This window comes from Homo sapiens, chromosome 2, assembly GCF_000001405.40.
Source record: "Homo sapiens chromosome 2, GRCh38.p14 Primary Assembly".
NCBI lineage: Eukaryota > Metazoa > Chordata > Mammalia > Primates > Hominidae > Homo > Homo sapiens.
Window position 1 is genome coordinate 69,457,187 of NC_000002.12, and position 25,845 is coordinate 69,483,031.

General features: G+C 40.6%; 1 protein-coding gene across 5 annotated transcripts in view; it reads right to left on the minus strand.

Annotated features, from left to right (window-relative positions):
* Positions 1-810: 810 nt before the first annotated feature.
* The window catches only part of AAK1 (AP2 associated kinase 1), a 185,743-nt gene continuing 160,708 nt past the window's right edge, over positions 811-25,845 (minus strand). For 2 of the 5 annotated variants that reach the window (NM_001426746.1, NM_001426745.1), the window contains exon 17: positions 811-9,365. In NM_001426746.1, the coding sequence (NP_001413675.1) occupies positions 8,239-9,365 (1,127 nt within the window). In that variant the 3' untranslated portion in view covers positions 811-8,238. Of the gene's footprint in view, positions 18,778-19,693; positions 19,805-21,764; positions 21,876-23,673; positions 23,776-25,524; positions 25,627-25,845 lie in introns of all 5 variants that reach the window. The other 3 variants (NM_014911.5, NM_001371575.1, NM_001371577.1) reach the window with 3 other exon arrangements.

The following is a 25,845-nucleotide window of genomic DNA, read 5'->3' on the forward strand; positions in this document are numbered from 1 at the left end:
AGAGGGGGAAAGAACTTTGACTTAAATCTAGAGAAGCAGATCTAAACCATCTGCTCATGGCTTTCCCCTGGGGTCTCACCCTGGTTCCTCCTACTTGGGTGTTAAGGGGTGATATAAGGGCACCTCCTTGGTCTACTGCCAACCAGCCTCAGGGGCAAAAGTGAGACACAAAGTGAATGCAGAGTCCACCTGTGGGAGCTTGTGTTTGCTACTCCTGTGTTCCCTACATGGAAGGCAGGGCACACCTTAGCAGAAGGCTCAGGGACAGTCTGAAAAGGGCTTCCCCCAGAGCAACTGCGGAGGCACACATAAAAAAGACTATGCTTTTGCTTAATGTTAACTTGAAATAGGAAAAACATAAGAACTTCACATGGTAGAATTCGGTGGGGTGTATATTTAGGTCTTAAATTTTCAGAAGTAGGCAACTTTGGCTTCATTCATGCATATAATACCAGAACTCTTTGGATTCCTGGGTCTTCTTCAAATGTCACCTCTGCAAACTCAGCAGAGGTGTAACCAGTTCTCCCTGAATCATAACAAAGTCAAGCTCATTAAAGTTCAGGCAAATAGCACTCTGTGTTATTTTCTGAAATTTGGAGAGGAAATAGGCAGGCAGATTCTCCTTCACAGTATGAATTTTAAAAATAATTCTTAGGTATATTTTTTCCTAAGACTTCTCTCTTTATGTTAATGCTGGTCTCTCTTCAGGAATATAAAAGTATACTACTAGGCTTCACACTAAGTGAAAGATACCTATGGATCCCTTCAATCCTAGAGAGATCTGATTTAAGAAATTGCACAAAGCATAAATCACTTAATTAGGTCCATTTTAATAAAGGGTATAGGAGTTTACAACTCAAAACAATTCATAAAACCTATCAGATACATACGATAAATCACACCGAGAGTGCAATAACATAAATCCAATGGTCTGCAAATAAGAGGTATTGCAAAAATTGTTAAGATTGACTTTCATGTTTCCCCCCCTCCTTTCTCTTGTTCACAGCCCGAGATTATGTGTACATTGTTTTCTGAGGCCTGATGACCTCAATACTCCTTCTGGCTGGAGAGACCTCCTCATTCAGTCCATTCCAAATAGTCAGCAGAGGGAGTTCACCTCTTCTCCACGGAATGAGCGTGGTCCTTGTCCTTTATTATTTGGTTTCTATCTCCTAACAAATGACATTAAATGTTCCCTCATTCAAAACATCTTGTGGGCCTTGTGGTGTTCTGGTCACTGCTACCCTCTCAATGCCACACATGAGCCCTCAGGGTGAGCCCTACAGAGTTTCATCCTTGTGGATAAGAAGATGTGTACTTGGGAACAAGGCTAAAGCCATGGCTGATTTCCCCAACCTTTTATCGCGAAGAACTCCAGTTGTAACTTTTGAGAGTTTTTTTGGCAAAAGGAACTACATTTACTCATGCCAAATACCTATGGTCACTTCTCAGTACTCTTTGGATACCTTTATTAGGAGAGCTTGAATTAACACCATGGAAGAAAGCATGAAGATGAATGAGCACACACACACACACACACACCCCATTCACACTCAAATAGGAATCTCTGGTAGACTCAAAGAGTACAGCTGATTTGCCATTTCAGAGTGAAAAGGCTGCACTGTCTCACCCTGCCCCCAAAGTCTAACCTATCCTATTTTAACTGGTATTGGTAAAAACTATTTTTGCAATTCCTTGCCGAAAGGAATCAAACGGATCCCTTTAACATGTACATATAGTTCCATTATAATGCAATGCAGGTAACACTAACTTGATTTCAAGAACATTGTCAAAACTGGGGTACACATCCTTCTATTAGAAATGGCTGGGGGACAGCTGAGAATAAATTTATGGAATTACAAATTATGGGAATACTGGACTAAGTCAAGAATGGTTACCATGTAGCCATTTTTACCAGCTATTCTAGAGTCCCTTCACACATAAACTTGACCCTGCATTCCGGGAAAAGTACCTCTGGGTTGTCACTACAGAGTAAGGCTGGGGTCCTGCCAACCTTCCTTCATCCTTTCTTCTAGTTCATAATAGGGAAGGTGAGCCATTTCATTCATTCATGTTTTGTTTGTTTTGTTTTTTTGAGACAGGGTCTGGCTCTATTGCCTGGGCTGGAGTGCAGTGACACGATCTTGGCTTAGTGCAACCTCTGCCTCCCGTGCTCAAGCCATCCTCCCACCTAAGCCTCCCAAGTAGCTGGGACTACAGGTGTGCACCACCATGCCTGGCTAATTTTTGTATTTTTTGTAGAGACAAGGTTTTGCCATGTTGCCCAGGTTGGTCTTGAACTCATGAGCTCAAGCGATCGGCCCAACACAGCCTCCCAGAGTGCTGGGATTCCAAGTGTGAGCCACCACACCCCGCCCATTTCATTCTTATTTGGTGAGATTGTCACAGACTTGGCTGAAACTTAACAAGAAACTGTTTACAGCAACAAAGGAAGCAATTAAAGTTAACATGATCATTCAACTGTGCCATTCATCATGCACTTATTGACATGCTCAAAATAGGGGAATGTTAAGTAAGGAAATGAAGTGGGAACAGGAACAAGGGAGCTAAGCCAAGAGGACTTCCAGGGACTTGAACAAAAACAATTCCCAACCACATACTACTTTTCAAGCATTTTGAAACTCTTCTTTTCCTTTAGTGATGTTTTCAGTAACAAACTTGCAAGTGTTCTTGGTGGTTAAAAAACAAAACAAAACTACAAGTATCAGCTGAGAAAGACAAAGAAAAAACTAAGAATTTAAATTAGATAATTCCATTTAAAGTTTCCAATTCCTCGTTTAGGTGGAGTTGGAACATTAGAACTCAGGGGTGGTTTGGATATTAACAAGGTACTCCTGCCTCCTCAGAAGCTACAGTCTTTTCTGCAGCTCTCTTATGTACCTCTCATCAAAATAATTTCAGTCCCACATTTCTCGGATAAAACCACATCTGTGGTTTTATCCAGCAACCATTTCACAGTCGACTGGCACGTGTTCTCCAATTTCAGTTCCAAACACACAACACAGAATCACACTTTTCTTTATTAAAGGGACCCAAGTGATTTTTAAGCTGTATTCTTCCTGCTAGAGAATGAATTGAGTAGCATCCTTCTCTAATTTCCTACAATAAAATTTCCTATGTGATATACTGCATATATATTATATCTGATATATGTTTTGATTATTTTTCTTTATGGAAGCAAATACAGAATTTCCTTGTCAGATCACTCTGATGATTATAATCTGCTACTTTGATTATGCATCAGTGAAATGTCCACCAAGCAGTTGAAAACACTGATGTACATGTATTCTAAAACTTACTAAATAATGGGCCAGTAAGATACCAGTATCTTTCTAGAACGTTTAGAAAGAGATCTTAGTTGCCAGAGAAAACTCAGATACAACATGAGCCTCTAAACACATACACTCTAGTCTACAAATATGAGACTTTTCAACTCAACAATAAGTGGGCCGAAAACAATATAGGGCGTATGACCTAGACTCCCTGGGTGCTGCTCAGCAGCTGCTTCAGCATCAAATTGTGTTCATCCCATTTTCTAATCTAACCAAGCACTTGGAACTAAAGGGCTGTATGTGAGCCCAAGAAACTGATATATTAAATATTTTTCACCACATATGACATCTTTCATTCAGTACTGCCTGTTAGTCAATTACTGTGGATTCTTTCAGGGTTCATCAATGCATGTGTGGCTCGATGGTTTAGGAATAAATATATTCTGGCTCAATGCTTTCCACTGAAATGAAAGGTCACAACTTCTATGTTCCCTATCAAATGTGTAAAGCAAAAACACAACAAACGAAAACAAGAAAGTAGAGTTGTTTGTTGATTATATACAGTCATGTGCTGCATAAAAACGATTCCATCAATGATGGACCACATATACCATGATGGTCCCATAAGATTATACCATATTTTTACTGTACCTTTTCTATGTCTAAAATGTTTGGATACAGAAATACTTACCATTGTGTTACAACTGCCTACAGTATTCAGTACAGTAACATGCTGTACAGGTTTGTAGCCCAGGAGCAACAGGCTGGACCATATAGCCTAGGTAGGTAGTAGGCCGTGCCATCTAGGTTTGTGTTAAGTACACTCTGTGATGTTCACACAATGACAAAATCACCTAAGGATGCATTTCTCTGAATGTCTCCCTCATCATTAAGTGGGGCATGACTGTATTTTTTTTTCTCTTTAAGGAAATAAGACCCTACTGTAATACAAGTCGGCAGAATCTAACTGTTACTAATAATTAATGTAATCCACAAGTCAAAGTTTTTTCATGCATCACCAAAAAAAAAAAAAAAAGTAATTTGCATGTGTTTGCATCCGTTTCTGTATTCAAAGAAGGTATGTAGAGTCTCCACCCATCATGTCTCCAGTGACAATTTTTTTTTTTTTTTTGAGGCGGAGTTTTGCTCTTCTCGCCCAGGCTGGAGTGCAATGACACAATCTTGGCTCACTGCAAAGTCTGCCTCCCTGGGTCAAGCAATTCTGCCTCAGCCTCCCTAGTAACTGGGACTACAGGTGCGTGCCATCACGCCCAGCTACTTTTTGTATTTTTGGTAGAGACAGGGTTTCACCATGTTGGCCAGGCTGGTCTCAAACTCCTACCCTCAAGTGATCCACCCACCTCGGCCTCCCAAAGTGCTGGGATTACAAGCGTGAGCCACCGCGCCTGGCCTCCAGTGAAAAATTTAAAAAGGATACAAGCTCATACTTGACGAAGTATTCAACTATGTAGTAAAATCACCATGATTTTATCCTGATTTGCACCTTGAGAATTAAAATAGTCACTTGATTAGAAGGGAATTATCAAATAACCAAAGGAAAAACATTTTGCTGGGCTGTTACAGAGATAATCCTGAATATTTGGAAAGGGGAATTAGAATGATCTCTTACTTTAAGAATTTCTGAACCAAACACCGCATGTTCTCACTCATAGGTGGGAATTGAACAAAGAGAACACATGGACACAGTAAGGGGAACATCACACTCTGGGGACTGTTGTGGGGTGGGGGGAGGGGGGCGGGATAGCATTAGGAGATATACCTAATGCTAAATGACGAGTTAGTGGGTGCAGCACACGAGCATGGCACATGTATACATATGTAACTAACCTGCACATTGTGCACATGTACCCTAAAACTTAAAGTATAATAATAATTTAAAAAAAAAAAAAGAATTTCTGGGCCAGGTGCGGTGGCTCACGCCTGTAATCCTAGCACTTTGGGAAGCCAAGGTGGGTGGATCACAAGGTCAAGAGTTCAAGACCAACCTGGCCAACATGGTGAAACCCCATCTCTACTAAGAATACAAAAATTAGCCAGGCGCGGTGGTGTGTGCCTATAATCCCAGCTACTCGGGAGGCTGAGGCAGAATCGCTTGAACTCGGAAAATGGAGGTTGCAGTGAGCCGAGATCACACCACTGCACTCCCGCCTGAGCGACAGAGCAAGACGCCGTCTTGAAAAAAAAAAAAAAAATTTCTGAGTTGGGGTGAGAAATCTCCCTGAGTATTTCTAGGCTCTTCGCTCATGTTTTTGAGGGCTTCACTTGATAATGACCATGGGAAGAATCTGGGGTGCAAAGTTCCACGTGCATTAGCCGAAATTATTCATTCAACTAGAAAGACAATTTTGCATCCACTAATACATAAAAATCAGAAAGGAGAATTGGGAAAAAGCATATTCTTAGAATAACATTTAGCATCCACCAAAGTGAAGGACATAGGTTTCTGGCACAGTTGAAACCTTAGTTGGAAAACCAAACCTTGGCACAGTGCCAATTATTTATCTTTTGATCAGGACATTTGAAATAGGCAGAGACCACCAAAAAAGGACAAAGTATTGAAAAGTAGCTGCTCATTTTTTACTGCCAATATTCCTGAACTTTAAAGAATATCACACCTAATCAACCGCAATAGAATTGGGCATTCAGACTTGATTCTTAGATGAATTTCCAATAATTTTTAAATCATTGATCTGGCTTGGTAAATAGCTCTCCAAACTTCTACAGCTAATGGAAAAATCACTTAACCTTTACTAGAAGTAACAGAAAGCATTAAAGTTGAAACCTAATGCAGCAGTTCTTTCCAGTGAGTTGAACTGCCTTAGCAGAAATCTTCCCATTGAGATACAGGCTTTATTTTTATTATTATATTTTTGGAGACAGTGTCTCACTCTGTCACCCAGGCTGGACTCACAACTCACTGCAGCCTCAAACTCCTGGGCTCAAGTGATCCTTCCAGCTCAGCCTCCTGAGTAGCTACAGGCATATGTCACCATACCCAGCTAATTTTTTTCATTATTTTATTTAATTTTATTTTTTAGACTCGCTCTGTCGCCCAGGCCAGAGTGCAGTGGCGCAATCTCTGCTCACTGCAACCTCTGCCTCCCGGGTTCAAGCGATTCTCCTGCCTCAGCCTCCTGAGTAGCTGGGACTACAGGTGTGCACCACCACGTCCAGCTAATTTTTTGTATTTTTAGTAGAGATGGGGTTTCACCATGTTGGCCAGGCTGGTCTCAAACTCCTGACCTTGTGATCTGCCCACCTTGGCCTCCCAAAGTGCTGGGATTACAGGTGTGAGCCACCATGCCCAGCCTATTTTTTTATTTATTTTTTGAAGGGACAGGGTCTCGCTGTGTTGCCAGAGTTGGTCTTGAACTTCCTGGGCTCAACTGATCCTCCTGCCTCAGCCTTCCAAAATGCTGGTATTACAGGTGTGTGGCACTGCACCTGGCCAGCTTTATTTTAAGGCACTAATAATAAAGGGTATGAAAAAAGCTAGGAATAAGTCAGATCTTTCCAGAAATAAAAGACAATTTTAAAAAACATCAGTTAACCTGTCTGGCCTATTTCAACATCTAAAGAGGATAGAGAATGTAAAAGTTTTCATGCCTACCTGATTCAGCTCTTTTCCATTCTCCCAAACACTTATTTCCATGTCTCAGATTTACATTTCCTCAAAAGGCAGTAGAGATTTGGAAACAACAACAACAACAACAACAACAACAACAAAACCACCCCAAAACAAGCAAGCCTAGTTTGTAGCCTAGTCTCATGATTAATGAATTCCCTAATGCTGGCATTTAGCCCACATACTGAGAGGCCGGAACTGTAACAAGGTGCTCTTTTCTAGTGTTGTAAGGGGAAAATGTATAAGGAAAATTAATTTTTCATAATCAGGTAAATATAATTTGTTAATAGCAAAACAAGAAATTCCGGAGAGAAAAAAGATTTACTCTGAAACACCAGTTCCAGCAGGATTTCCCTACACCTTCCAACGTATTCTACTTTGCCATGAGAAAAAAACTAAATAAATAAAATGGGGTTCAAGTCAGTTAGGCGAGCAAACACCAAAAAACGAGTGATTTCATTGTGGAGGTAGGCATGATGGGGCAGGATTTCCCTCAAGTGGAAATGCTTCCTGTGCACACACACGTATACATGCACACACAAACCTGTACACTCACACTAATTTCAAAAGCATGGATGTGGGGAAAGCCCTGCCAGCATGACTAGACATGAGGAGTTAGCCCATCTGCCTGTATCTCTACACAGGCTCTGACGTACATTCCACACCCATAGACAGTCATGCACGAGAGCCAGCCTGGCTTGCACACAGACTGAGAATCAGATCTGGAGACTCCTAGAGCTGCTGCTTCTACAGGAATTATTAGTAACTGCAGGATTATACTTCCTGTTGATGTGCAGGGTTTTTATCTTGCTCTTCTTTCCAGACATCTCCCCTTTTCAAGAGTACTAAATCTTGATTTAGTGGAGGGACTAATCTTGATTCTTCGATGGGCATGACTTAGAACAGGAGCTACAGGAATTAAAACTAGCAACAATAGGGCCCCTTTGGGATTGGGGTGAAGAAGTATTTCAGGATTTAAACAGTTTCTGTGGGTGGGGCGGGGGGAAAGCAGAGTTCTTGGTGGAAGTGGATGACCTCTGTGAAGGAGATGAAAATGCCTCCAAGTCCAGAAATCAATATAAACAAACAAACAAACAAACAAAAATGAACATAACTTAAAGGGGCTTCAACTAAATATCACTGCAACTGAGTTTGTTGACTCAAGAAATTCTGCTCTGACGCAGGGAATTGAAATATAAGAACTGATAATATTTCTTCTTCAGAAGGCTAAGCTGGGAGTGCCATGGCGGGTATTGAGGGTGGGATAGAGACAAGAGGCTTGAGGCTCAGGTTTTGCTCCTAGGGTTTCTTGCCTGATTTTGAAGGGAAGGGTGCTAGAGCAAATGGATCAGCAGCTGGCAGCTCCGTAGTCCTGGAGGAAAGGGATGTGATAGAAACAGACCCAGCTATCGACTGCTTGTTGGTTTGTGAAACAATTTTGTAGGCAGCAATGGGCTGGGCTTCTGGACTTGGCTCGTCTTCTGGGCTATAGTGACGGGAATACTTGGATAAGGACTGGGGGCGGAATGGTTTGCCAGCCATGGGGCCTGAGACAGCTTCTTTCTGGAGCTGAGGTCCTTTGTTTCTGTCATTAGAATGACCCCCAGATTCCAGGCAGGATCCCCTGGGAGAGATGCTGTCCAGATGGTCTGCTGCTTGTACAGAATGGGACAGGAGGTTAGACTGTTGCACAAAACCAGCTGTGGAATACTGAGCTTGGACAGAGGTGTACACAGCTCTCTCACGGCCCGCGGGCAGGGGGACATCACCTGTCTGACTGAGGAGACCGGTCTGTGCAGGCAGCTCCTGGGAGGTGCATTGGATAACTGTTAACTCCTCCATGCTTTTCTTCTTAGTGAAAGGAGCTCTCAAAAACACGTCTGACTCCTCTGGCTGGGAAGGAGCCATACTGCTCTTGGAGACAAATGGGGCTTTGGAGAAAATGTCCATGTCATCATTTGGAACCCTTGAGCTCCTGAAGGGAGCTATGGCAAAAACATCTGGCTCACTGAGCCCATCAGTGGCTGGCTGTGTGAAGGCTTGAAACTGGTTCTTTCTTCCACCTTGCACTGTCTTTGCTTGCTCAGGAGAGACTTCTGGTGGAGCGAATGGAACGGCTCCTCCCAGCTTCCCCGGGGGGGGTCTGCAGCTCTCATCTTCTTCTTCAGACTCCATAAGGAGAGGCCGAGACCCACTGCAGTCCAGCATGTCTCCTTCAAGGTCAGTCCCTTCCTCTTCGCTGCTGTGGAATGAGCTGTTGCTTGAAGGGCCATCTCTGGCCAAGTAGTCAGATTCTAAGTTGTTCTGAGTCTTTGTGCCAGGTACTCTGGAGGGGTCTGGATACAGCGGAAGGCCTTTAACACCCAGTGATTCTTTAAAGTGCTCTACAGTTATTACAGGACAGGGATTGGACTCCCTCTGGAGATCTAGAAAAGCATAAAATGCAGAATTAATGTGTAGGTCAATTCAACTCTATTTGGAACATTTAATGGTCAACCCGCGGCAAAAACATTGTGGGACCAAATAATAGATGTTGAAAATGCAACAGGAAAAACATAAAAATAAAAGTCAGGCAAGGAAACTGCACACAAACTGGAACACAATCAACCACTGTCTCACGTTTTGGAACATGATAGGCACGACGTACAGGAAAGGAGATGAAGATGTTAGGCACACAGACATTCAGCGTAACTATGCAATGCTCCTACACACAGGGCCAGGCACGGACACCTGCTCTACCTGGCACTGGCTCATTATGGAATGAAAACAAACCCAGTCATTCATCTCCACATATACCATGACAGTTTTGGATTATGTAGAAACACTGTCTGGGGATGACTCAATTCAGAATCTGGCATGTGGTCATCCGCGCCACATGCAGAGGGACAAACTCTCTGAAAAGAAGCAGAATGTGGCTGCTTGATAAATGCAAGTTTACTTGATGACTTACATCACAAGCACTACTCAAAGAGCATACGAGTGCCCAAAATATAAATACTGAAGGTACCTTCTGAGGGGAGCATACAGCATCAAAATCAGACCAAATAAATCACCTTCAGCTGGAGTTGCCCCAGAATTTTGTTTTCAGTCTTCTAAGTTCATAAAGATCTCCTCTGCTTAAATGAATCTGCCATAAAGTTCTTTAAGCAGAAGGAGTAAAATGCATGGGCCATTACAGAAGCATTAGCAAACTCCAATATACTAGTCTATTTCTATCTAGGTAGAGGTGCCTCAGGGTGCTCTGGCTTTTAAAATCAAATAGACAATTATCAGAATGCAAGAGAGCTTACCTTCCAAGAAATATTAGCAGGTTAGAAGTATGTCATTGGGCACATGTTAGCAAGAGGGCAGGAAAAAGGCATATGTAACTAAGCAAGAAGAATCCAGAGAAAGGGTGGTTGGGGGTAAAGGTATCATTTCATCATGGGCTCAGTAAAGAGATACTACTGGAGTTTCCCAACCCACCAGGATAAGAATATTAGATACAATGATTTGGAGCCATAGATGACCCAGAACCTCTGTAGAGATGGAACTCAATGATCCCCTTCCCATACTGACCCTCTCCCCTCCTATGCAAACCATTAGCTAGCAGAAATTTCTGCCAAAAATTATCCCCTGCTAAAGTTTCTGCATGAATTAAGCACACAGACCACAGCAGAAGAGGCATTAAAATCAGTTTATTGGGAAACCAGTCACTTAGAGACATTACATTGTAAAGAGAATGTAGAGAGAGGTCTGAACATTTTATAAGATACTGTACAAAAATACTATGTTTCTCTGAATCCTATAACTTTTTAGCAGTGCTTCTTTTTAAACAGTTCTGACCTTAAATATTGTTTTCAGAAACAGAACAAAAATGTGTTTGTCCTCCATTTTTATTTTCCTTTCTAACAGTTTGAATGCGTTCAGTGAATTCCAGATTGGGGCGTTAAGTTAAATTCTGTACTGGTGCCAAATGGCTTTCAGAATAGTATTTGAAGAATAAGATTTTGAAAAGAATAAATTTTTCCTTGTATTATAATTTTAGTATGTGCAGCTACATGGTGATACGAAAGCATCAGTCAGTGGACAGGAAATAAACAGAATACCTTCTTCCTTGCGATTTATGTGGACAGACATAATCCTAATTTCTCAGGCAAGTAAATTGATATTAGATTTGTCTCAGTGATACCAAGATGATAATTTCTGGGAGGAAATTCAAATAAAAGGGAGAAAAATAAGTTTTCCAAAATAAGGTTTGCAGAGCCTTAAAGAAGGACAAGAGGGCCCTAAAACTCCTTGAACCACCTTCCTCACATAGTATCAGTTGGACAAAGTTTTCAGTTGCCAAAACAAAAGCACAATTTCTCATCTTCCAAAACTACCTTGAAAGTTGATGTTATTAAGCTTGTTCTGCAGGAGAGCAAAATATCTCTTAGGGAAAAAAAATGGAAAACTTAGTCAAGCCAGTGACCAACTCTGGCATCATACAGGTCAATAATCCAATGAACACTAGTTTGAACAGAGTCAGTGTTTTTTGGAAATTTAAACTGAATTCAGTTAAAACAATTTGTGCACAGAGACTGGCAAAAAAGCAGCTATCTATTGAACCAGGGGCACTTTGGATGCCTGAAGTGCTAGATTACATTTTGAGAACTAGGAAGTACCAAGGGGTGTGTGTATGTGCCCATATTCAGGGTTGGAGAGGATGGAAGAACATGTCTAACCCATCAAAATTATTTGTTAAAAAGTGGGTTTTTGGTCGAGAACCCATTTGGAAAACCTTCCAACTCAGAGCATATTCTATGACCTTCATGATGAGTACTGGGAAAATCAGACTTAAAATTCCAACAACTTTGAATAATTTACAAAAACAGTCACAAAAACACCAGAATATCAAGTTTGAAGGGAAAATTAGTCTCCTGTCCTTCAAAACAAGGACAAGAGCTATTTCCTATCTTTCTTTCAGCATCAACAGGCTTTGTAGGAATGGAAAAGTACATTTAAAGGGTTGTCCTGAGAAGGCCAAGTCCCTTAACCTTTCTATTCTTGTTAGAGGAGGTACAGTGTGGCTGAGGCGGAGAGCAACCACACTTTGCAACTCTCCAGGCCTGGCACTCTGAAGGGCAAAGAAATGCCAGAGAATATGGGGGAAGCCCAGACCTCCACATTCCCTTAAGGAATTCTGGTGGTGGCAGCACCAGAAACAAGGTAGTCGAGAGAAGGATAAATTCCAAATATACTAGAAACAGAAGGTAACCATTAAATCTTGTTGGCAGATAAAAGTCTTTTTTTGAGTATGTGAATGTGTTCTTACAGGGAAAATGTGTTTTCAGGGTGAACAGTTCCTTTATATGAAGGTAGCATTGTGTCAACAAGAAAACGTGTTTGAAGCAGTCTCTTTACTAGCATTGAAGGATTTATACTAACCTAACCACATGCCTTGACCCAGTTCCTTTGGTAACCAATGGCACGTCATAGCAGATACCCTGTGGCCATAGAGCTCAGTAAACACTGCCTGTTGTACCTCAGGGGCTAAAGCCCAGGGCCTGGCTTCATAGTCTGCACAGGGTCTTACTTATCATAGAGCCTAACGTAGGGTTTTGTTATAATTCCCTCAAACTGGATCATGCCTCTTTTTATTTTGGTTTCACACATAAAATTAAGCAAGAAGTCAAAACATACTTCTTTTTCTTGCTCTGATGTAGGACTGTGTGCCAGGTTAGGCACGTTGACACTTTCAATATGGGTAACTCCATATTAGTCTATTTTGAGGCTCCAAATTATGTAGATTTCAGCAAGAACTCACATGCTTCAGGGAAGAGAAGGAGTTCCTAAAATACCTGACAACTTGGCAACTATCCTCACCAGCTCCCTATTCACTTCCAAAGCAACCCAAAGTGCTGAATCATTTAGGATGGGTTTCCCCTGGAAACTCCATCTGATTGACATAGTGAGGGCCATCAGAATGCTCCCTACAGAATTAAAATCTGAAGACTTAAATGTCAGGCTGGATATTCCTTAATGAAATACATCACACAACACCAGAAGTTTACTTTTCCTCATACCAAAAACTGAAAGAACGGTTACAGGGAGTATCAAAGATATGATTCTTGCCAAAAACAGAAAACGAAGACTTGGAGCATTGAGAAGAAGCCTTCTCACATATAGTTAGTAAACAGAAAGCAAAATATCCCTTCACAAGAACTTGGAAATGCAGCAGCAATTGAAACGTAAAATTTTAGAACCAAACTGGGGAAATCAAGAGACGTACATCAAACTAATAATTACCATGACCTTCTAGCTCACATAACAAAATTAAGCATTTGGTTCCACCATATATTAGGTAGCTGCATTAAAACCCACGACTGGGAAATGAGGGACCTCATGGAAGCCAAAAATGGCCAGCTGTGCCTCTCAGGCCAATGAGGCAATTAAATGAGTGAGTTTTCTCACTGGGGATAAAATTATTCTTGCCAACACAAAATGTTTAATTAAGTTGGCCTGGGTATATTAGGGATTAAGTTAGAGGAGGGAAGCTGCAAACCTGCGCTCCATTTTACAACCCTGAGTCTGGTCATATCCAGTGTAGGCTGGCAGGCGTCTTATTCTCCTTGAGACTAAAACAGGGGTTTTACTCTCTCAGGTAGCCATGATTCATTAATATGTCCTCAGTGTGTAGCTATACTTTTCTTGTGCCCAGGTACTTATTGTCACTCAATACTGTGATTAAATCCTTTCTGCAAAAAAGTGGGTTTTCAGCTCAGGAAAAGAGCAACTTATTTTAAGTTATTTACATCTCTAAACATCATGCTCCCATTTGAACAGATAAAAGTCTTTATTCCCCTGTATGTTTACATAAGAAAGTTCTTTACAGACTTTTTTTTATACAATACTTGTGCAGCAATGTTCAAATTTCACGTTTTTACTGCATAAGATATCTTCATGTACAACTGTATGCTTTGTCTTCTTGGGAAGGACGCGTTAAAGACCTATGATAAACACACATCCACATGACAAAGGAGAGTGCAATAGGGCAGAGTAGAATACTCACAGGAAAAGAGTAAATTCAGGTCACTACATCAAAGTGTGAACCAAGAACGTGTCTTTAATTCTAGCAACTACCACCATTTGGTAACTTCTTTGCATAGGTTAGCATTACCCAAGGAGCCTCCCTATCCCGTATTAGTGAAAGGAAATCTGGGAGAAGCAAAAGAGGTTTCTTGTTATAGATTTCCTAGCACTCATTCTGATTTAAGAAATCTAAGCACATCCAACTTCAGAAACATTACTAATGTGGAAAAAGAAAAGGCTGACTTTGTGTTGATAAAATTATAGCCTTTAGAGAGGAATAAAGATAGCTTTGCAGTATCTGGAGTGTTTCAGGAAAGCTTCCATTCTAAATATTCATGTGATAGTTTTTCTGTTCTGCCAGGCAGCCTCTAATTTGCTTAACCCGGCACACTGGGCAATCCTGTCATTTTCATCCCAAAGCTCAAAGTTAGTGGCTATGGGAGCCTGATAATCTTGCAGACAGAGAAGGTTAAGGACTCTGGGAAATCACAGAAAAACCTTATCAAGAGAGACTTTATTTTGGCCCAAGGTATCTATAGCATGTATTTATTTAGCTGAGTGCAGATCCCTCCACATCATAGGCTGTCAGCCCCAAAGATCCCTTCATTCCCACAGCACTGCTGAAGGCAGAACTGTTCCTAACCTGGGGAAGGTTATATTGGTTGATCAATTATCTGTCAGGAGAGTAGGAAATAAGTAATCAAAACAACCAAAAGTATTAATAATAAAACAAATATTACATCTTGAGAAAGTAGTTCGTTTCTTGGGTTTGTTTTTCCACAAGTATTAGCAATCCAAGTTGTGTAATTCTAATTCAGGAAGAGCGAAGTCCAATATCAAATAACACTGAACAAAGTGACAACTTCTTTCAGAGGTGTTTTAATACCCATATCTTTCAATGTTTTAAACCATTCTAAAGACTAAGGAATCACAGAAGTTTCCTTATTCAGAAAATTACAGAAATTAAGTCTTAATCATGTTCACTTTCTATTATAAGGTCCTCTCTGAGAATTTTTTGTGGATTATCCTTTTTACTGTCTTCAACAGTAACCACTCTTCATCTTACAGGGTTGAATTTGCTTTCTGGAAATGGCTAAATGTTACTCAGAACCAAGAGTAGTAGAAAAAGTAGACAAAGAAAGAATATACTTCCAGGTGCTTTCTCAAAGTGATACTAATTAAATAATATAGCTGATTTTCTTATACCTTATTACCTTCCTTGATATTATTTCTAAGGAGAGGAGTTTCAAAAATAACTTTAAGGATGGCAGCATCATTAGAATAAGTATTAACTTCTTAAGTAAAACTAGATGACATTGAGGGGAACAACACTTAATTAGATGTCAAAATTCTGATATGTCTGCTAAAGAAATCATTAATTATAATAATTATAATCATACTTAGAAGTGTCCACTTAAGCCTTATCTCCTCTGAGGTATGTATTTTTGAAAACATTGGGACTCATTTGAATGTTGTAAAGGGAAAAATCAATTTGTCATGTTTTCTGCTATAGTTACTCCTCTTACATAGCTGGAATAAAAGCAAATCAGAAACATATGCTTATAGTATTTGCCCGTTTTAAACTGGTAGATGCCTGATTATACATTTAAAAAGAAATCTTCTGATACCATTTTATTAGAATAGGTAGGTGTGTGTCCACGCATGTGTTTCTGTAATACTTAAAAAGGAAAATCTCTAAGATTATGATTTAGGCTTCTATTCAGATAATCAAGAAAGAGCAAGTTAGTAAAAGCCCATTATAATTCTTTAAAATGTAAACACTGCTACCGTAATAGCAGGAACTACAGAAGATAACTGAAGAACATCAGGATTATATAAATCCTTCATAGCCCTTCTCAATATAATAATATATACTTAGGACCCTATACTTCTATAATCTTAAAGACCATCTAGTCCAAACCCATCGTATAACTCTAAGGAACAGCAACTCTGAGAGGTGAAGTGCCTGCTGAAGGTCACTCAGCCAGTGGCTGGCAAGGGCCAGGATGAGATCCCAGGTGGCCTGTCCTGCCCAGGCCTCTTCTCCCCCGACCCTGTTCAATCCAGCTCAGGTCCCACACCTGTAAAATGAAGAGGATGGTGGACTAGAGGATGGTCTCAAAGGTCCCTTTGTAGCTCAGGCTATGATTCCACAGGTACCAGGACACTATGCTCAACTCAAATAAACTCTTTCAGCTCAGGGATGATGCTCTAAACCAAGGAAGGCTCCGTTTACCAAAGCACTCATATGTGTTCCTTAACAGAAAAATAGTTCTCCCCTTTGAGGAGGCCTTACTCTAAATAAGCCCAAGACAATTTCTTGTCATTATCTCCCTTAGGCTTCTACTGCCGTCTCTGGCTTCTAGTCTGCTCATTTTCATTAACTGCCTCCATTAAGCTTTACTGAGCCAAATGACTAGATAATATATTTCAATGTAATTATGGGTAATATATGAAAAGAACAATTTAGAGATACCTAATTTCTAAACTGTACTCTTCATAGTTTCAATTAAATTGAGAAACTAGATATTTCATTATATTTCTAACATGTATATACGAAAAAAATCAAATATGAAAACATAGAACTCAAACATTATTCTTATTTAAAAATAAACATTTCCTTCATTAATTTATACATTCTTTCTATGTCCAGGAAAGAGAATACAATTCTGACCTGCAGCAATTTTCCTGTCCATAAAGGGGTAAACCAAGTCCTATTTTCACTGCTATCCAACCACAGAGAGCCCTTCGTGGATATCTTTTGCTTTTTAATCCTCGGCAGGAAGCTTGTGCCTCTCTCAGTTTTGGAAATGGTCTGTTATTCAACTAGAGGCCTTTACCTAGCTCATCTTGTTTCAGCCAGCACGGGAAGTATTTAAAGACAGAAGGAAGGCTGGAAGATTCAGACTTTTCCTCCAATGCCTTTCAAAGGCTACTCGCACATTCCTAGGGTCAAACCTTGCCCTCCAGAATGCAGTGTTTTATAGGCTGTTGTTGCTGTTAAACTTTTTTCCCCCATAAAGTGCAAATGTGAGGAAGAAGAAACAAAAGTACTAGATAGCAAAACAAGCAAATGGACTTGGAATTTTATTTGTACAGATCTGATTAACTAAGAGTTTCCCTTTTGATGATGGACAATGGCACTAGAGGAAAAGAACAGGAGTGGGGTTCTCTGTGCCCACTTCTTTTCAAAAGGGTGATTTTATAAAAGTGCTTTCCACATAAGGAAATAAAATACACTTTAATGAGTAAGTACATATAGAGAGGGTGACCATGAGGCATGTTGTCATGTTAGTGCAGGGGCCTTTATTTATTTTATGAACAATATCCTAAAGTTAATAAAGAACTATGCTTTATTATTTTTTTTTAATCTAGGAAGCCAAGGAAAACCAGCTGAACATATTCCATTGGCTGCAGCCTTCAATTTAAACATCAGAAAGAAAGGTAAGCTGGGCACACCCAGATTGTGTCCAGCTTGTCAGCACACTTATTTCTGATTATCTGAAAATAAACAACATGCTTATTCTAGAGACAGAGGACCTGCTGAAAGCTTATAGCACACAAGTCTATTCAAAATGATTCCATATGTTACACTGTAGGATTGTTGTGTAGTTATACAAGGGAAAGAAATCAAAACCCTGTACAGACACCTGATATCAGACTTGAAATGCCAAGTGGAAACAGAACTATTCAGCATCTTCATTTATACACAATTTACAATATTTGATTCAAAATAAAAATCACAAGAAAAATACATCTGTTTCTGCTACAATTCCTTCCCCTCCCCATCCTCCCCCCACCCCCGCCCCAGTGAAAAGTCTTCTAATAAAAGGTATCATATTACCACCGTCTTGTTTTGGTCTAATTCTGAGATCCCACTTGGAACAGTTAACATGAAAAGGAATGGCAATACTTGGGATTTATATAACGTACACATTGTATCCAAGGATCTCAAATACTTGCAGTCACGTCTCCAGATCTGAGAAATCACGGTTCAATGGAAGCCAGAAAGCTGGACGAATGCTGGGCAGGTTGCATGGGGTGTAAAATCCCTTGGCTAAGTCTATGATCAAACAAGGTCAAAGTTGGTTGGCTAGAGCTGGGCTCAATTTCTCTTCTCAAATATATACTACCAGTCAGTAAGTTTTACCCTTTCTTAAACCACACACCCATCTCCAGGCTACTGCCTAGAGTTAAGACCAACTGAAGTAGCCATGTCCTCATGATAATGCATCAGGATAAAAAGCAAAAACAGGGAAATACATTCATCAGCATCTGGCCAAAGGAGACGGGGGTTGGGAGAATTGATCTGGGAGGCCATTCCTAGCAAGAACGAGACAAAAGTGTCAATTCACTAGTTTCAGTTACAGTTAAGCTTTTGGTGGAGTTGATTCCAGCAGAGGTGAAGCTCATGGCATCTAGTGCTTGATTTAAGATAATGCTATTGAAGAAGGGTAATGAGAAAACACAGCAAACTAACAAGGAGGAACTGGCCAAGGAATATCTGGAGGGCCAAAGTGATTTTCTTTCCTTATCATTTCTACAGGAGAAGGCAAGGGGTAGGAGAAAAGGGCTGGAGGGCCCCTTATTTGCAGATTTTTTTAAAAAAATCATTTTTTTCATAACTCCGTAATGAAAATGTATTTTACGGTATGAAGGTTACAGAACTGCATCTGCTACTGGGTCACGGCTACAGGTCTATGAGCTGATCCACCAGCAGTAAAGACCTGGCTAGGTTGGGAAGACTGGACTCAGAGCTCCCACTGCTGTTTCTAGAGTGCCCACCTGGAAGTGGAGAGATAGGAATTCAGTACAAAACATAGAGGGTTAAGGTTTAGATGTGCAGAGCAAGCAAAGAAGAAAAACCAAACCAAAACCAAAACCAAAACAAAAAAAAACCAAAAAAACCAAACCCTAGAGAAGCAATATTTTACATTTGCAAACCCTTACACGTTGATTTTGAAACATGTAAGTTAGCTGTCCACCACCTCCCACCAAAAGCTCAGGCACTCTGTGCACACCACAGTATAGGTAGGACATCTTGCAAAGAGGGCACTATTTTCAAATCAATACTTTTTTTGGTTGAGAATTGCTGGCTATATACCAACTTCCTGATAATATCAAGCCATCTCCCTTTGATAAAGTAAAAATCAATAATTTTTGCTTTGGGGAGAAACTAGTTATTAAGATACTGCAATAAGAACATGCTTTAAAAAATAAATAGATGGTCCCATGGTAATTTAGTGTTTTATGGCATGTTCACATGATTTTCCTCCATCAAAGTTGAAAAAGGATGCTCCATTAATGTCAAAAAGATGTGAATGATACCAAAACACAGCTGTTAATCTCTTTGGGAAAAATATTTATTATGGATTATTCTAATCATGATAAAAAATGTGATGTGCTTTTGATATATACCTTCAGGTTTCCACTGACTAAAGATCATTTTGCTTTTGGCTTCATGGTAAAAACTAACTTTTGGCCAACTGTTAAAGACTTCTCTCTAAATAAACACCACGGTCAAACTTTAAAGATACCTATCTCTATCTATCTCTATTGGTCCAGCCTACAATGATTCTCATTACACCCAATGTCCTTCATTAAATGTTGATGCTTTTCTTCCCCCTTGCAGATTAGGTGCATGACTATTTTGAAGAGAACTGAGGCCAAGCTCTTCTCTTTTCCCCATCCTTTTTCTTACCTTGTGGGTTTTTGGTTATCAATACAGGAATAGGGTCAAACTCATCTTCAGCCACCTTGTCCGAGCCCTCAGGGACATCAAAACCTGAGATGAGATTACTATCTTCTGCAGCTTAATACAGAATGCAAGTACACAAGCAGAAACAACAGAGGCAGAGATTAGCAAATGAGAGAATGTGAAAGAGGCACAAAGATCTCAACTGTACAGCCCTGTTATTTTCAAAGGTGAAAGGATTTATCTTTCTGAGTTGAAATAAAAATAGCAAAACTGGAAAATACAGAGATATAGAAAAAAATGCTTTAGAGTTGGCCATGTTGACTTTTATAATGATTAGGGAAAAGGGTTCTTGGAAGAATTCTATTATTTATAAGACATTAATTATAATTATTGTGAGGTATCTCTTCATTGTCACTAATCCACAAAGGCATAGGAATAAGTCACTTGTCTTCACTGAGGGAACAGAGGCCAAACAATATTTGAAAAACTCAAAACCGGGGCTTGGGGGCAGGGCAGGGGAGGAGGAAGAGAATTGGTGGCTCTTTAAGAAGTAACCACTGTATATAATGCAAACAAAATACTGCTGGAAGGACTCACTGCACTGTGACTGGGAAAAAAAGACACTGAAACAACTCAGAAGCCTCAGGGAACGCTGAGGCACAAGATCACACGCACTGAGGCCTCAAGTAGAAGTTTGTTAGAATAGTCTTCTCCATTCTAATTAAAGCTACCCTAACAGCAAGCAAGTGCTGGCTGAGCACTTATTTTGCAAATGATGCTTCTCTGTAATTCTACATTGCTGCTGACATACTCCTGCCAGACATCACTGTCTAAATAGGTAACTTCCCTCTACATAATCTATAAAAACATAATCATTTTAATGTCATCACGGGTAAAAACAAAAACTCAGCTATTACCATTGCAAACCACAGAGGTGATTATTTTTAGTCATTCTGGGGAGGCTTCCTTCTTGAATTTTCTCCTGAAGGGACTTAAGCTCTTTCTTTTCTACACATTTTCTCTTTCCAGAAGACTACTTTCACTACCCAATCACAGAAAGTTCAGTAACAAAGTAAGCCAGGCATTGAGCCTGACACTGTCACAAACTGCTCATTGAATAGAATCTGATTCAAGCTACCTCTGTCCAGGATTTCAGACCACTATTAACCCAAGACTGAAAAATGAAAATAGTAGATTAGAAAGAGAAATCCAGTAACCAATCATGACTTGAAGGTGAACTAAAATTCAAAACTTCTACAAGTTCAACCTTGCAAGGACTGACTTTTGAGGAAAGATGCTTATTTCTTTATTGCAGTCATCACTATGCAATAACTTTGAATCAGATATGATAAAACCATTTTACATTCTAAGGCCAACAAGCATCATATGATCATTATAGGCAGGCAGTAGATAGTCACTTCAACCATCTACTTGAATTGACTGCAAAGGTATCTAGCTCTTAAAGGTAACATGGAATATCTGCATTCTATGTTCTTGCCAGAAAGCAATACTTTCACCAATCTGTTGTCTAGGGCTTTTTTCAGATTTAATTTTATTTATTTTTAGTACCTGTCTGCTATTTTTTTTGTTTTTTTAGACAGAGTCTTGCTCTGCTGCCCAGGCTGGAGTGCAGTGGTGCGATCATGGCTCACTGCAGCTTTGCCCTCCGGGCCTCAAGCAATCATCCCACCTCAGTCTCCCGAGAAGCTGGTACCACCGGTGCATGCTGCCATGGCTGGCTAATTAAAAAATTTTTTTGTAGAGACTGAGACTCCGTATGTTGTCCAGGCTGGTCTCAAATTCCTAGGCTCAAGTGATCCTCCCACCTCAGCCTCCCAAAGTGCTGGGATTGCAGGCCTGAGCTACCACAACTGGCCGGTCGTCTAAGTCTTAGTAAATATTCTCACTGAGAGGTATTATAACACAGTATCTAGGAGATACTCAAGTTTTCCATACAAGGAGGTAGTTTTAAAACTTCACTAGTAAAGACTTTTGATAAGAAAAACTTTCAAAAGTTGTTTAGTTCTTTCCCCTCTAAGGACACATGTGGGCCTGAGAAGAAGAAAGCATTTACCTTTATGGACTGGAGCAGAGATTGCTGTGGGGGCAAACTCTTCCAGAAGGTCAGTAGTAGGGTTAGAGAGCAGAGAGCAATCAAGCAGGGAATCTTCCCCGGTGAGAGAATCTGAGTCCAGATTAACAGCATCCCAGGTCAGTGATGGCATTAAGTGGCACACACAACAATATCATGAGATTAGATCTTAGCTTTTAAGTTACTGCATTTACACGTTACACATAAAAGCCAAAGCGGGAGAATAAAAACCAAAAGAAATGTGTGGAGCCTTCTGGATTTTCATCTGTATCATGAGATTAGATCTTAGCTTTTAAGTTACTGCATTTACACGTTACACATACAAGCCAAAGTGGGAGAATGAAAACCAAAAGAAATGTGTGGAGGCTTCTGGATTTTCATCTATAGAAACATGTCTTTCTAGATTCCTCTTAACATTAACATAGAAATAGAGGATAATTTTTTGCTCAGAGGTTGCTGGTTAAATAGGTCTGTGATTTGGATGCTGAGCTAACTTTAGCACCTCAGTTCTTAGTGAATGCCATTTGGGAGAAAAAACTTTACAATTAGAGTTTCACTTAAACTTTCCCTAAACACTCATAGAAGGAAGTTACTATAGGACAAAGTATCCAAACTGATTAGGAGAGGGTTGCCTCTGGCTTATTATTAGCAGAATGTGACAAGATTAAACAGTACCTTCTAGAACTCAACCAGGTTCCCACCCACAATGCCTCTAGCTAGTATTCTTTACATTGAAATTGGCCCTTTGAACATGATTTTGACTTCAGAAAACCAAGACAAAAACTCAGAGTTTAAGTTTCTTTTTGAGACGGAGTCTCGCTCCAGCTCCCAGGCTGGAGTGCAGTGGGACGACCTTGGCTCACCGCAACCTCTGCCTTCTGGGTTCAAGCGATTCTCCTGCCTCAGCCTCTTGAGTAGCTGGGATTACAGGCATGCGCTACCACAACCGGCTAATTTTGTATTTTTAGTGGAGACGGCGTTTCTCCATGTTGGTCAGGCTGGTCTCAAACTCCCGACCTCAGGTGATCCGCCCACTTCAGTCTCCCAAAGTGCTGGGATTACAGGTGTGAGCCAAGGCACCCAGCCTGAGTTTAAGCATTTTAACACAGGGATTGTTTTCTGAGAAGTTTTCTAGGAGAAAACATTCAAATGAGGATAAGGAAAATAAATCATAATGTCTTTGGAGGTAATTTTTTTTTCACCTGCATGAATTTATCCTCACATTTCCTAGGCTTCTAATTGTTTCTATCCAAGTTTGAAAACCAGATACTTTTATCAAGGGAATTATGGACAAAAAAAAAAAAAAAAGAAGAAGGTTACCAAATCTGTATTTGTGGGCAGTTAAGAAATTCTATTAAGACTGAATTTTGAAATTAGGGTACAAGTAATACTACATCTAGGGAAGACTTCAACTTTGCCTACAATTTTACAGCAAATTACCTATACAGGATTAAAGCACTGTGCTGGGAACGGAACATCAATATATAGAAGATGAGCTCCACGGACATCACTGGCATTGGCAGACTGGAAAGATGTACAGCAATCTGGAGGGTTAAGGGTATCCTTACAGCTCGGCAGAGTTCTTTAATTAAGGACATAGAGGGATCCCACCACCAGTGAAAAGAATTTTGAATAAAGAAATACTGTAACCAGAGAAAGCCCAGAGATCACTCCACAGAGAACATGGCTCCAAAAAGTACTCAGTTCTTTAGCAAGGAAATATATCACTCAACATCTAGAAGCCGGGGCTGTGACAATTCAGAGTGTCCATTTCAGGAGGAACTACCTGGGCTTCAAAATAAGCCCAGGAACGACTGAGCCAGGTGAAAAGACTGGCTCAGAGGTTCACCACACCGACCAGTCCCTGCAGCTGCAGAGACACCTGACTGACCTGTGCGATTCGAGGTCACAGATTCCGTCTGAGATGGGAGGCGCTGGGGAACTGGGGGCTCCAGTCCTGGTATGAGACTCTCAACAGCAACATCAGCTTTTTCTTTCGTAACAGAGCATTAAGAAGAGGAAAGGGTAAGGGAAAGGGAGTCAGAAGTTTCTTTAGGAAATTCTGTGAAGCTTTCTTCTTTTTTTTTAATTCTCATTTTTTGAGATGGTGTCTTGCTCCTGAGCTCAAGCGATCTATCCCACCTTGGCCTCCCAAAGTCCTGTGGTTACAAGTGTGAGCCACTGCACCCAGCCATGTGAAGACTTTCTTTTAACAGGTCTCTAAAATGCCAGTCTCAGGCAAGGTGGAAAGAAAAATAAGTTACTTTATTTCTGCTGCTCTGAATGTCTAGGCTTCACTGAGCATGCATGTGCAAGGTTAAATACTGTGGCCAGTCTCACTAATGATCAGTTCTCATAAACAAATTCAGAACATAAGCCGCTCAGCAAACCTCTTCCATGTCAGAAGAGATGGGCTGAAAGGCACCTTAATTTTTTCTGGTAATTTCACTTTTATTAAGGGATAAACCTGGGGGCAAACATCCTCTGTGCCATGCAAAGGCCATTAATCCATCTCAAACCCCATCCCAGGATGTAGCTGGGAGGCCTTTTGCACCACGTGACACCCCTCAGCTGCAGGCCTACCCCTATGCAAGGTCATGGCACTTCTGAGTTCTAGGACTTTCTGCCCAAAGGCATTATTAGGTGCCTCATGATTGGACCCTCCTGGAGTACAGGGGCCTTGGACATTTTGCAAATCTTGCCTGCCTTGCTGTTGGAACATAGGAAAATGTGAGAGAGGAAGCAGACCAAGCCCCTGCCCTGGATTCTATTTATGGGGCTTAACCAGTGGGCAAAATGTTTTCTCAGTTACTGATACTTGGTATATACATGGACCTTTTTAAATTTTTTAATTTTGTTTAAGATGGGTCTCTGTCACTTAAGCTGGAGGGCAGTGGCATGATCAGGGCTCACTGCAGCCTCAAACCCCCTGGCTCAAAGTGATCTTCCGTCTCAGCCTCCCAAAGAGCTGGTAGCACAGGTGTGCACCCCCACACCTGGCTAACTAACAACATTTTTTTTGTAGGGATGGGGTCTTCCTATGCTTCCCAGGCTCGTCCCACTGCAGCTGGATGTACATGGGCCTTCTAAAGAAGAATCTGGGCTGGGCATGGTGGCTCACCCCTGTAATCCCAGCACTTTGGGAGGCCAAGGCAGGTGGATCACCTGAGGTCAGGAGTTCGAGACCAGCCTGACCAACATGGAGAAACCCTATCTCTACTAAAAATATAAAAATTAGCCAGGCATGGTGGTGCATGCCTGTAATCTCAGCTACTCGGGAGGCTGAGGCAGGAGAATTGCTTGAACCCGGGAGATGGAGGTTGCAGTGAGCTGAGATCTTGCCATTGCACTCCAGCCTAGGCAACAAGAGTGAAACTCTGTCTCAAACAAAAAAAAAAAAAAGAAGAATCTGCTAAATTTCATTAAGTTCAGTAAAGGTAGTCTAGTTAGAAACCAATTTTTTAAAGTTCTTCTAACTAAATGTGAAACTTTCCACATTCCTCCTCATTCATAAGAGATCCACTCTAGAAATCTCCAGATATCAAGAAAGGCAAAAAATAGACGTTGTACCCCCGAAAAGCAAGGAAAACACTTCATTTGGAGTGATACAAGTGAGATTAAATAGCCTTGGCTTCTGGGGTGGCAGGGCTATTCCCCAGGGATTGGTTAACTAGGTACTTGTCATTCTTGAAACAGGCACACATATCATGCATGACTGAAGAAACAGAGATGATGACTTTACCAATTACAGCATCAGAAGTGCTACCAAAAGGATCTGTCATAGGCAAGAGGTCAGGGAGCAGAAGAGAAGTGTCAGGAGATTTGAGTCCCTCAATTAGTTTTTCTACGTTGGGCAGAGAGACAAAAAGAAAGCAAAAATGTAGTAAGATATTAAAGCCAGCGGATCATTCACTATTCTTTAAGCAAACACATTTTAGGGGTCAATATTTGGTACAGGTTCACCATAAAAATGAATGCTATTAATATCTTGTTAACAACAGGTTTTCAAAATTGGAAGTTTAAAAATGATTACTTCCTCAAGTGAAGTAGTCACTTTGTAAGG